Here is a 13162-nt window from a genome sequence, read left to right on the forward strand (position 1 = left end):
GACTGCTTGTATTACATGTCACAATTTAAAAATAAAAATCAGAGCATCAGATGGTCCAACATCATAGCAATCGAGATATTGCCTCTTCATCTTTTCTTTCTCCTACATCCAACATTAATTAAAATGTTAACATCAAATTATAGATCACTGTTAGAATCATTGAATAACAAAACACTCAATCTGAATCACAGAAATTAAGATGATTTACACAGACTTCCTGATAAACAATTGAAGCAGATGTCAGTGGTGCCCTGTCCATAACCTCTTACTATTTTTGTGAGGCCAGCCCAACTTCCAGCTGCCAGCACCTATAATTCTTTGCCAGTGGTCATTCTCTGGCTGCAGAACTTCTGTGTATGTGAGGGGTGGAGAGAACTCTTGGGGGAATAATGTGCCTGGGAGAAGCCCTCACTCAAATGATGAGTAGGAGTAGGGGGTTGGTACTCCAGCAGCTCCACTATGCTTTGGAGGTGTGTGTCCCCTGTTGACTCCCATGGTTCCCCAGCAGGACCAAGCTCTACATGACAACAGCAGGTTTTGCTTTATCCTCAATATACCTTTCACTGGTGCCTTCCCTTCCCTGACTCACTCTCCGTTTCCCTGCTGGTGTGTCCTAAGACCACTTCCCAATGAACTATTTACATCATAGCCTTGTCTTAGAGTCTGCCCCTATAGAAACCAAACCAAGATAAAAATGTATACATACAGGAAACTGAATGAATGTATACATGAGTTAATTTCTACTCTAGGGCTAAGGTTATTGCAGCAAACAAAGCAGATTAAATTCTTGCCTTTAGTGTGCTAAATAAATGTTTATGCTCTTCCCTGCTTAGCAGTTCTCTCAGCTGAAGGAAGCAAGAAAGACAAAGAAGAGGCGACTTTGGTTTTTACACTCCTGCCAAAAATTAAACAGGTATCAAAGAACGATGCATAATGAGACCTTAGATTTTACACAGCAATGTAAAGTGTATAAAAGCTTTCACCTAGAATATCCTAAAAACAAATAGACAACCTCTTCAGATAGTTCGGGAAACTATCATTCTTACCATTTCACAGATGAGGAAATTGAGGTTTAGAGACATGATTGAGCAGATTAATTCTGCAGGCAAACATCATGGTCCATTACAATTTATCCTTCTGCCTGTGTCAGAGTCTATGTCATTATAGCCTCTATGACAAGATCACAAAGGCAGTGCTGCAAATCAAATGATCACTTCCAGTAATCCTGGCTTGCTACTGAATTACAGTTTCCTCACCTTCTTTTGAAACAGGCAGATTAGGTCACTGCTGGGAAGAGCTACTTCCATGGCCCATTGATTTGCTTTCATTGGGTATTTCTTTTCCTGGCAGAATAGTTTGTCGATGATATTAGGTAGATGCAACTTATCATGCATTACAGAAGTTTATAACTCTAGGGAGATGAATAAAAAGGAGAAAAATAGCTACTGCTTAAAATAAGAATCTCAGATGTTGGTGTGCTTGTTTAGGGAGAGGTTACCATGGAGATCAAGGCTTTGCAACACACTTTGCAGGATATAATGGCACAAGTCTTCGGCTGGAATAGGCCCTTATGCAACTCTTTTACCATCATTGTGCCACATGCTGACAACTCTATCTACAGATGGGCCAACCCATGTACCCCTACGCCACTCAAGTTCATTCCAGTTCATGGGGAAAATTTGTGTGTGATGGGAACCTGCCAATAACTCCACCCTATCATCACGTTCCAAATAGAAGTAAATGTTATTGACAATTTTTTTATTCCAAGAATAAGGAAAATAGCAACAATAATAATAAAAGCAACTATTCATTTATCATATGCTCTATGCAAGATATTGAGCTGTGCCACATACATTTATAGTATTTAATTTTCAAAGCTAGGAGCTGAGGTATGTATGTTTATCTCTGTTTTGCAGGCAAGACAACTGAGGCTTAGAGACATGAAACAATGTGCTCACCACCACCCGGCACCTAATGGGAAGAGCATGGACTCAAACCATGGCCCATGCTTTTTTTTTTTTTTCCCCAGGAATGCTTTATGTTTCTGCCTTCTCTGCCCCTCACCTTATTGACCCAGTCTATGGACGTGAGTTTCTTCAATCTCATAATAGTTCTTCATTGCCTTGCTGACTTTTCTCCTTTAAGCATCTCACTTTCCATTAGCACTGATACTTCACCCCAAGGCCGGCCCATTTGTTTGAACCATTGATACACACAACTGGATTAGTTTCCCAAACATCTCATTCCTCTTGGTTCAGTTCTGCATGTTCTTCTCTGTTTAGATAATAAGTCATAGTACCTCCTTTCTGACCAGACATACTAAAATTAGGAGACATAGGTTCTAGGCTTTGTTGTCTCGCTAATAACTCTGAATAATTAAGCATGTCGAGGCTCCATTTATTGTGACAGACAGATATCTAGGTTGATTTACTCTTGTACATAAGGGTAGCATAACCATATATTGAGCATTTAGTATGTACAGGAACTTTGAAAAAGAGAGGTAAACTTTACACATTACGGATAATCCAGCAAAAAGAGCAAAGCATTGTGAATGGAAAGCATTTGACTTAAGTTTACAGGATTGGAAATTCCATAGGTGGAGAGAAGGCGGACATGCAATCCAGCTGGAGGAAGCAATTTTGAACAAAGACAGAGAGAACACAGAATAAGAGCAGGTGGCAGAAAGTTGTGGAAAAGTCATAGAAGGTGATTTGTTGTTCAAGAGTGGGTGAAAACAGGAAACTCATTAAAACCCTTCATCTTATACGTGGGAAAACCTAAAGCCACTGGAAGATAACAGCTCATCCCCAAAACTCAAAACTGGCTAGTTTTAGGGATGTAAGTATACAAAGTCCAACAACTGCCTTTGCTGAATTGACTAGTTCATCCTTATAAAATGATTAATCCAATAAGCTCTTAGGGTAACAATTAAGCTGGATGTGCTCAAAAGATTTCAAATCATCCAAGAAAACATGACTGGTAGTGAACACAAGTATAGACATAAAGAAGTGAGGGAAAAGAAGGCACGCAGGTATTTCTGTGATTACCTTGGTTAGCAACATGACTCATTTAATGTATTGGTTGGTCGGAATTAGAACCCACCTTTCTAAATAAGCTCACTGGTATGTAATTTGCTTTCCACAACTTCTGACTAGCTATACAACAAGAAGAGAAAACTGAGCAATAACCCAAGGAATTCTTAAGACTAATTTATATAAATTGGCTTTTGTTCTTTTTAGTAACCAAAGTTAATGATACTACTCTAGCTGCTCCAAATCCCCTGTTTTTTATACTATTTTGCAGCAGGGAGGCTTTGTTTTTGGTGGGTTAGGAATGCTTTGAGAATCTCAGAAAATCTTTAGCTCCTACATGTCGTTAGTATCCAAACCCAGAAAAAAAATATATACTTGTGTGCATACACACAATATATCTAATTTTATTCCATATTTTTGGTACCTTCAAAGCATGTGCAACCATAAATACAATTGGGATTTATAAACTCTTGTAAAGAAATCTGTTTTATACTTCACAAAACAAGTTCACAAATATTCATGTAAAATTTACACCTCAGTTATGGAGATAAAGAAATTGAGATATGCAAAGGTAAAAATGGGCTTCCCTCATTCACACAGCTGGCCCTTGGAGGAGCAAGACATGGTTCCAGAACTTTTAGTCTTGATGCATTGCACTGCATTTTTGTATACATCATGTGTGCTATTCCTTGGATAGATTACGGCTGGTGAGAATAAGTGGGATATTATGCAGAGCACATTTCATATCTAATTATAAATAAAGCAAGGGTCAAATGGATAAAAGGGCATCTCTTTAAGCTGTCTTTTCCAAAAATGAAAGGATGAGCTTTCAAGCGTGTAAATTGCACACATGCAGGGAGCCAACAAGAACACTGCACATGTGGAAACTCACATACTGGTATTCTTCAAATATTCATTGGCTTCCCCATGTTGAAACATCAGTTAACTGTAAGTCAGTTTCACAGTCCCCTTACACTCTTGTTCATTTGGCTACAGCTAGGTCCCTCTCATTCAAGAGATCATCAATGAAAGATGGATTTGCCAGGCTTAATTGAATCTTCCATATTCAAGACTGCCCTCTCCATTTGATAAGAAAAGAGATATTTAAACAGGCTCTTGTCTCTTAAATGTCAAAATCTCTTAGCCGGGCTTACAGAGTTGTTCAGGTCATTAGTTCCTCTCCTGTCTTATATCTCCCAAACTCTAATGTATTACCTCTACCAGGCTGTCAGAGCCACAACGGTCCAATTATATCATATTCATCTTTGTGCTCCTAATTTCTAGCATTGTGTTCTTTATTTAACAAAGCCTTATTGTGTATAGACTTCGTGCAAAGCCCTGTTCATGTGGTGATGGGGTTAGTAAGGAGCAAAACCAAGTTTTCACCTCCATTGTGCTTACTTCTAGTGGGTGAGAGAGACAATAAACAAACAAATAAATGGAAAATATAATGCCAAGTAAATGCAAGTGCCATGAAGTCAGGGGTAGGAAATGATAAGGAGCAGTTCTTATTCTTTTTTTCTTTTTCTTTTGTTTTTAGATGGAGTCTCTCTCTGTCACCCAGGCTGGAATGCAGTGGCTTGATCTAGACTCACTGCAACCTCTGCCTCCTGGGTTCAAGCAATTTTCATGCCTTAGCTTCCCGAGTAGCTTGGGATTACAGGCGCCCACCACCATGCCCAGCTAATTTTTATATTTTTAGTAGAGATAGAGTTTTGCCATGTTGGCCAGGCTGGCCTCGAACTCCTGACCTCAGGTGATTGGACTGCCTTGGCCTCCCAAAGTGCTGGGATTACAGGGGTGAGCCACCACGCCTACCCAGATTTTTATTCTTGATTAGTGCTCTTGGGACTCTTTCTGCAGTGGTCTCATTGGAACAAAGATCTGAATGAAGGGAAGACAGTAGTACTTAAATATCTGGAGGGAGAACATTCCAAAGAGAGGAAGCAGCAAGTACAAATATTTAAAAGACAAGAACCTGCCTGGCATGCTTGGAAGAATGGAAGAGACATGTGTGGCTGTAGAGTAACACCCCTGTGTGGTGTCTGTCATATGGTGGACACTGAACAGACGTCAAAAGAACTACCACCTAAAACAATGCTCACCACATAGCTGATCTGCAATTAATGTGTTGTTGTTGTTGTTGTTGTTGTTTTGTATGGATATGTTTGTACTCTCCTCCAATCTGCCTATACCCTAAATATCCATAAATGCTAGCTGTCTTTCCAAATCAGTGATCTCATTAAACATACTCTATAACAGGAAGGGAGCTAAAATTGGCTGTTATATGTTGAGGCATGGCTTTATATATTAAATGTTGGTTCACTTTTTTAATTCCCGTGCCATGGGTGTGGCTATCCCCATAGAATGAACAAATAACGTATTGTGATGAACTAACTTGTTCAGGCCCACTCAGTCGTCAAGCTATAAAAACTGAGAGCTCAGATCTTGTTTAAAAGCCCATTCTTTATTTATTCACTGTATTGTCTATTCATTCAGGAGCCAGATGAAGGAAATGCTTTTCTCCTGATGTTAGAGATGAGGAAAGGTGGTGGACTCAGTTAAGCATGAGACAGATTATGGAAATTTTTTTTTACTTTATTACTATTATCAAAGTCTTGCAGGAAACAGACATCACTTTCAAAGGAGTGTCTGAAAAGAATAAAATGAAGAGACTGTTTCCTGAAGTGTAGGCACAACACAGGGAATTAATGAGGAATAATGAAGATCCCAGACCCTATCAATTGAGGGAAGCCATCATCTCCCACAGGCCTGGAGAGGCAAGAGGGAATTACCAGAATTCAGTAAGACCCTTGAAGATGTAGTTGAACTGTGGCTGTGTGAGGGAGGCCACCAGATAGGAGTTGGCTGGGGACTTTCCTGACTTGCCCAGAGCTATCCCAGTTTCATTATTGAAAGTCCTGCATCCTGAGACATTTCTCATTCCTAAGCAATCCAGGATGCTGAGTGAACATAGCTGTTCCATCTTGCATAGAATATTGTAACCAATGTCAAGCCATAGCTAAGGAGCGATGGGAATAGAAGAGGGATAAGGTGGAACTAAGCCCTTTGTCTACAGAGAGTGCCTTATACTGGTCCCACCCAACGGGATGCTTGAATGCAAGGGAGTTTATGTGATCCAGCCTGTAAAGGTCAGTCTGTAGAGGCTCATAAGCAGGAAAGAGAAAGACAGAGGACAGATCTGGGAAGTCACATGGAATATACTCATGCGAGTGCCGTGCAGTAGAAGATAGGCCATTTGCATGGTGTGATGGGTGTGAGGGGCCACTGGGTACAGTAGTTGCCTGTGGAAAATCATGAGCTGCTTACAAAAGACAGTCTCACTCCCTAGCATGGCATGGCATCGTTGGCTCTTTAATAGCCGCAGCTTGATTTTCTAATCTTATCACTTGAAACGTTTCCTGTGTACATGAATTTTACAGTCACAAGGGACTACTTAGCATCCTCCGTCATACCTGCACTTGTTGACTCTATGGTCTCACTGATTCTGCACCTGTAATGTCATCCTCACCTCCGTCTGCAAGCAGTTTACTCACTTCTAAGACTATAACCTAAGCTAATGACCTTCAACCCACAAAATGACTGTTTTTCTTTATTTTCCCACCACATTTTATACCATAAAAACTGTTATTATTTACCTCCCTTGCCATGTGACTCTGAGTGTCTCTCCAAATCTTCTTTGCTTCCACAGAGGTGGTGGGATGCTAGTCAGCAGTGACTATGTCTGATTTGCTTTTGTCTCCCAAGCTGGACCTAATGCAATATGTTGCACAATGTGTGTACTCAATCAACTTTTGTTCTGTGTAGAACTGAATTCAAAAACAAAATGTGACAAAGAAAATGTCCTGCAGCCTGAAACCTCCACAAGTACCCTAAACAGCCTGAGGAAATTTAATGAGAAGGATAATGTAGGTTTCTCCCAGGCACTCCTTACATGCCTATTCTTATGGAGCAAAATGCTCACTTATGTGTCTACTTTCATAGGAAATAGATTCTGTTGAGAGATGATGATTCTGCCTGTCTTCAAACTGAAACTCAGTAAAGGGTTCAGGTACAAACACTGGGTCGTGCCAACAGAGCCACATTTGTAAATGGGTTGCACAGCTTTTCCAGAAAGAAAAAAGATTTATATCATAATCAGACAAAAGCATGCATTGCTAGATTAAGGAGAGAAAATTGTATGCTTCCATGATTTTTAGTAAGTATATGTTTCAGATACATTAAATCAAGCCAAATGTCTTTGGTCTCTTCTAAGAGACCTATTGAGGCCTGGTAGGCTCCAAGTGATGTGCTAAGGTAAGAGAAAAAATAAAGAATTTGGAGTCAACAATGTTACAAGTCCTAGACGCACCACTGCCAGGTGTGTGAACTTCAGCATCCTACTGGGTCTCTCAGCCTATTTCCACATCTATAAAAGTTGAAACAATGAATCTATGCTGCTCCGCCTTGTTTTGAAATTTTTTTTTTGTAGACTCTAAAATTACATAAACATTACACTTTTCCTTTTTTTTGTTTTGTTTTGAGACAGAGTCTGGCTCTGTCACCCAGGCTGGAGTGCAGTGGCGCAATCTTGGCTCACTGCAAGCTCTGCCTTCCAGGTCCACGCCATTCTCCTGCCTCAGCCTCCCAAGTAGCTGAGACTACAGGCACTCGCCACCCCGCCTGACTAATTTTTTGTACTTTTTAGTACAGACGGGGTTTCACTCTGTTAGCCAGGATGGTCTCTATCTCCTGACCTCATGATCCGCCCGCCTCAGCCTCCCAAAGTGCTGGGATTACAGGCGTGAGCTACAGCGCCCGGCCCAACGTTACACTTCTTCTTAGCAACTTAATGACTTTCTCTGTATTGCAAATCCCTCGTTAAACAAAGAGAGTGGTGCCAGTTCTGTCTATGGATCATGGTGTTAGAGAAAATTTGCTGAAATTATACAAATCACAAATGAAAGACATTATTACTGAAAAGCCTTTGGAGCAAAAATAGTAAGTTCTTCAGAGGTCTGGGTGCTTGGGTGTACAGCTTTTCCTTTCCACTTATTAACTGTGTAGCCTGAATACATTTCTTTATTTTAGTCTTAGCATCATTTATAAAGGAGAGATGAAGATACTCACTTTACCTGGCCAAGTTAAGGGTAGAATAAAATGATATGTATAAATAAAAGACTTGGAACATAGTTGGCATAGAGTAAAGTCGTTCTTTTTCTTCAGTTGTGGTATTTTTACATTATTCAACAGAGATATGCAACATTTAGTATGGACAATCATAGAAATTCCTCAGGGACTGTCACTTCTGCTAAAGTCATATGGGTATGTCAAAGGCAAAGGCACGCAGTGAGTTGTTAAAGAAAGCTGATCTCCTCTAAGGGATTGAATTTCTTATAAGCAGTTTCCCATATTGTGCCAGGGTCCTTACAACATTGCATTTCACAATCAGCAAAACTTTCACAAATATTATCATTATGGCATTGAGCTGGGATTGGCAGGCTTTTTCTGGAAAGGGCCATATAATTAATATTTTCAGTTTTGCAAGCCATGTGGCCGTGTCACAATAAGTCTACATTTTTGTTATAACATAAGTGACTACATACAACATGTAAATGAATAAACATGACTATATCTTTTTTTTTTTTTTTTTTTTTGAGACGGAGTCTTGCTCTGTGCCCAGGCTGGAGTGCAGTGGCACCATCTCGGCTCACTGCAAGCTCCGCCCCCTGGGTTCACGCCATTCTCCTGCCTCAGCCTCGCGAGTAGCTGGGATTACAGGCGCCCGTCACCACGCCCGGCTAATTTTTTTTTTTTTTTTTTTTTTTATATTTAGTAGAGACGGGGTTTCACCGTGTTCGCCAGGATGGTCTCGATCTCCTGACCTCGTGATCCACCCGCCTCTGCCTCCCAAAGTGCTGGGATTACAGGCGTGAGCCACCGCACCCGCCCATGAATAAGCATGACTATATCGCAATAAGGCTTTATGTACAAAAGACGGCAGGTAGCTGGATTGACCCATGGATTACAGTTTGCCAACCCCTGGCATAAATGATTTGTGACTTCCTACTAGCCAGATAAGGGAATAGCATCACCACGTGCCCAGCCAACAGATACTACAAGGAACACAGAAACAACTATAAGGGATCAAATGTTTGCTTACAAGACAAAAGGTTTCCCATCAGTGATTAGCCTAGTTTTAACATTATCTCCAAAGAGCGATTTTCCCTGGTACTTTCAACTCTTTATGCACTGTTTGGATTTTCCCAGTTGGAAGTAGACAATGAAGTGATAAAACTGAGGTAGAGAAGGTTTACAATGCCTTTGCTAAGCTTAAAAAAAAAATCAATGAAGCCTCAGAATCCTAAGGACTGAACTCTGAGCAATGCCTAACAGGGAACGGAGAACCATGGATAAGAGCTATCTCAGGCTTTGACTGGAATGAAGAATCAGAGTATTTGAGGAAAAGAAAAAGAACATGAAAAATGACCTACACTGGGACAAGGAGAGACACTCTTGGCCACTTCTGGTCAATGTCTGATTAGTACCTAGCACCAAGCACAGACCCTCACACAGAGAAGGTGCCCAATGAAGACTCTAGGTTCAAATCACACCTCTGGTACTGTGTATCCATGTCCCTGTGGATAAGGTTTTCAAATCCTCTGCATCTTAATCTCATTGTTTATAACATAGGGATAAAATAGTATCTACTCATAAGTTTAGAGTGGGAATCAAATTAGCAAAGCATATATAAAATATTTAGTATAATACTTGGCATATATTAAGTTCTTAATAAATGCTTATTATTATTATTATGTACATCAATGAGTAAGTGACCTATTGAGTGACTGAATAATGTGTTGCATGATTTTATCTTTCAGTAAGCAGGGGAAGAACCCATCCCAGAGGATACAGGGCTTCAGTTCACAAACCAGGTCCAGGATCTCTACTGGATGGTGGTCTGTGAACAATTCCCACGGGCTCTTTGTACTTTTGGTTCTGTTTTGAAAGCTGATAGTTCTATCTAAGCTACACAGTGAAAAACCTAATGTACTAAATTTATCTTCACTTCCTTACCATCACATTTATTTCTGTCTCCACGAAACTAACATGATCACAAAGTGAAGTCCCACAATAGGCCTTCTGCAAGCTGAAGAGTAAGGAAGTCAGTCCAAGTCCCCAAACCTCAAAAGTATGGAAGCCGACAGTGCAGTCTTCAGTCTGTGGCCAAAGGCCTGAGAGCCCCTGGCAAACCACTGGTGTAGGTCCAAGAGTCCAAAAATTGAAGAACTTGGAGTCCAATGTTCGAGGGCAGGAAGCATCCAGCATACGAGAAAGACGGAGGCTGGAGGACTTAGCTAGTCCTTCCATGTTCCTCTGCCTGCTTTATCCTGGCTGCACTGGCAGCTGATTAGTTGGTGCCCACTCAGACTGAGAGTGGGTCTGCCTTTCCCAGTCCACGGACTCAAATCTTAATCTCCTTTGGCAACACCCTCACAGATACACCCAGGAACAATACTTTGCATCCTTCAATCCAGTCAAGTTGACACTCAATATTAAGCACCACACATGGGTATAATGATATGTGATGGTTAATTTTATGTATCAACTTTATTGGGCTACCGGAAGCCCAGACAGCTGGCAAAACATTATTTCTGGATTTGTGAGGCTGTTGCTGGAAAAGGCTAGCATTGGAATTGGTAGATAAAGTAAATAAGATTACCCTTACCAATGCAGGTGGATGTCATCCAATCTGTTGAGGGCCTGAATAAAACTAAAAGGTGCAAGAAGGGAAAACTTGCTCTCTCTACCTAAGCTGGGTCATGCACATAATCCTGCACTTGAATGTTGGTGCTCCTGGTTCTCAGCCTTCAGACTCAGACTGGAACTCACCCATCGGCTCCCCTGGTTCTCAGGTCTTTGAACTTGGACTTGAGTCACACCACTGGTTTCCCTGGGCCTCCAGCTTGCAGGTAGGAAATCATGTGGCAGATCAGCTTGTATAACTATGTGAATCAATTTCTCATAATAAACTTCTCTCTCTCTCTCTCTATCTCTCTCTCTCTCTCTCTCTCTGTTCATCAAGATTCTCCAAAAGGGGAGAACAAATAAGATTGTGTGTGTGTGTGTGTGTGTGTGTGTGTGTTTGTGAGCTTATTAGGGAATATTGGCTCACATGACTGGGGGAGAACCAATAGGACAATTGGCTTACATGACTACAAGGCAACATCCCATGATAGGCCATCTGCAAGCTGGGCAAAGAGAAAAGATAGTAGCATGACTTAGTTCAAGTCTGAAAGCCTCAGAAACAGTGTAGCCTTCAGTCTGAGACCAAAGTTCCAATAGCCCCTGGGAGGCTGCTGGTAAAAATCCCAGAGTCCAAAGGTCCACACACCTAGAATCTGATGTTCAAAGGCAGGAGGAGAGGAAGCAAACATTAAGCACAGGAAGCTAGAGTGTGAGAAGACTCAGCAAGCAAACCTATCCCCCTTTCTTACACTTGCTTTGTTCCAGCCATGCTGGCAGCCCATTGGATGGGACCCACCCACATTGAAGGTGGGTCTTCCCTTCCCAGTCCACTGATTCAGATGTCCTCTTCTCTGGGAAAAACTTCACAGACACACCCAGAAACAACACTTTACCATCCATCTAGGCATCCCTCAATCCGGTCAAGTTGACACTTAATATTAACCATCACACTCCCTACCTCTTTATCCATGCCAGGCCTCTTGTTTCTTTGGAAAACCCTGGCTAAAATAGATTTTAATACCAAGAGTGATGTTAAAGGAATGGAATTTTAAGAAAAAATCTTCGGAAAAAAATAGAAGTTTAAGCAAACCATAAGCGGAACTTAAAGATTTGGAAAATTCTTAATCTATCCATATTGTAAAAAATGACAACACTAAGGGTGTGAACGAGCGTCCATTTGATAGAAAGATCAGTATGGGTGTGAACCATAGACTTAACAAGTAAATCCAGGAGGAAAGTGAACTGCAAGAGAAGGAGATGAGAAGAAATGAAGGAATACTGTCAGACTTCTTGGATTTTACAGGACAAGACCAAGAAGCTGTTCAGCTGAAAACATGGGCTATTCTTCAAGACAAGGGAAGAATGCTCCTGAAAGTGATTCACAGATAATCAGGGAATGCCTCCTCAGTTTCAAAAGGGTAGCCCACCACCTTGCTTTCAACAAGCCAAAAGGTCTCTGCACAGAGCTGTGGTGTTGGGGCCACCCAGAGCCATGGGGAAATAACGGCTGCTGAGTAGAGTTGTCGGGGCAGAACCTCCACCTCAGTGGGTCTAGAAGGCTAAACCCCTGACCCAGTGGGTCTGGAAGGCAAGAGCTCTACTCCAGTAGGCCTGGGATATAGCATTGAGCCAAAGAGGATTATTCTTGAGCTTTATGATCTCATGAAATTTGCTTTATAGTTTAGATTTATTTGGAATCTGATACCTCTTTATTTTTCCGATTTTTCCCTTTTCAAATGAAAACGTCTATCCTATGCCCATCTTACCCAGGTATTTTGGAAGTATATAACTTTTTTGGTTGTATGGGTTCACAGCTGAAGAGCAACTGACCCCAGCTTAAATCATAGTTCAAGTCTCACTCATATCTGATTTAGTTGATATTTTAATGAGACTTTGTGCTTTAGAGTTTTGAGTTAACACTAAAAGAAGTTGGAAGTCTGGGGTATGTTAGGATGAAATAAATGTATGTTGCATGTGGGACGGACATAAATTTTGGGAGACAAGGAGTGGGGTGCTATAGACTGAATGTACACGACCCCACAAAATGCATATGTTGAAATCTTAACCCTTAACATGATGGTATTAGTAAGTGAGGCCATTGGTAGGTGATCAGGACATGAGGGAAGAACCTTCATGAATGGGATTAGTGTTTTTATAAAAGAGACTTTGGAGAGCTCCCTTGTCCCTTCACACATGTGAGGACACAGTGTGAGGATGGGAGTTCATGAACCAGAAAGCAGGCACTGAGCAGTTGCTGAATCTGCTAGAGCCTTGATCTTGGACTTCCCAGCCTTCAGAAATGTGGGAAATAAATTTCTGTTGTGTATAAGGCGCCTAGTCTAGAATAGTTTGTTATTGCAGCCTGAACAGACTAAGACATG

The 13162-nt window shown here is 41.1% G+C and overlaps 1 annotated feature.

Moving 5' to 3' along the window:
- Positions 370-664: a silencer, noted in NCBI's record as "tiled region #1033; K562 Repressive non-DNase unmatched - State 24:Quies". NCBI's record gives its function as "represses a minimal TATA promoter and a strong SV40 promoter by Sharpr-MPRA in K562 cells {active_cell/tissue: K562}" and the evidence as "EXISTENCE:reporter gene assay evidence [ECO:0000049][PMID:27701403]".

Source organism: Homo sapiens, chromosome 8, assembly GCF_000001405.40.
Source record: "Homo sapiens chromosome 8, GRCh38.p14 Primary Assembly".
NCBI lineage: Eukaryota > Metazoa > Chordata > Mammalia > Primates > Hominidae > Homo > Homo sapiens.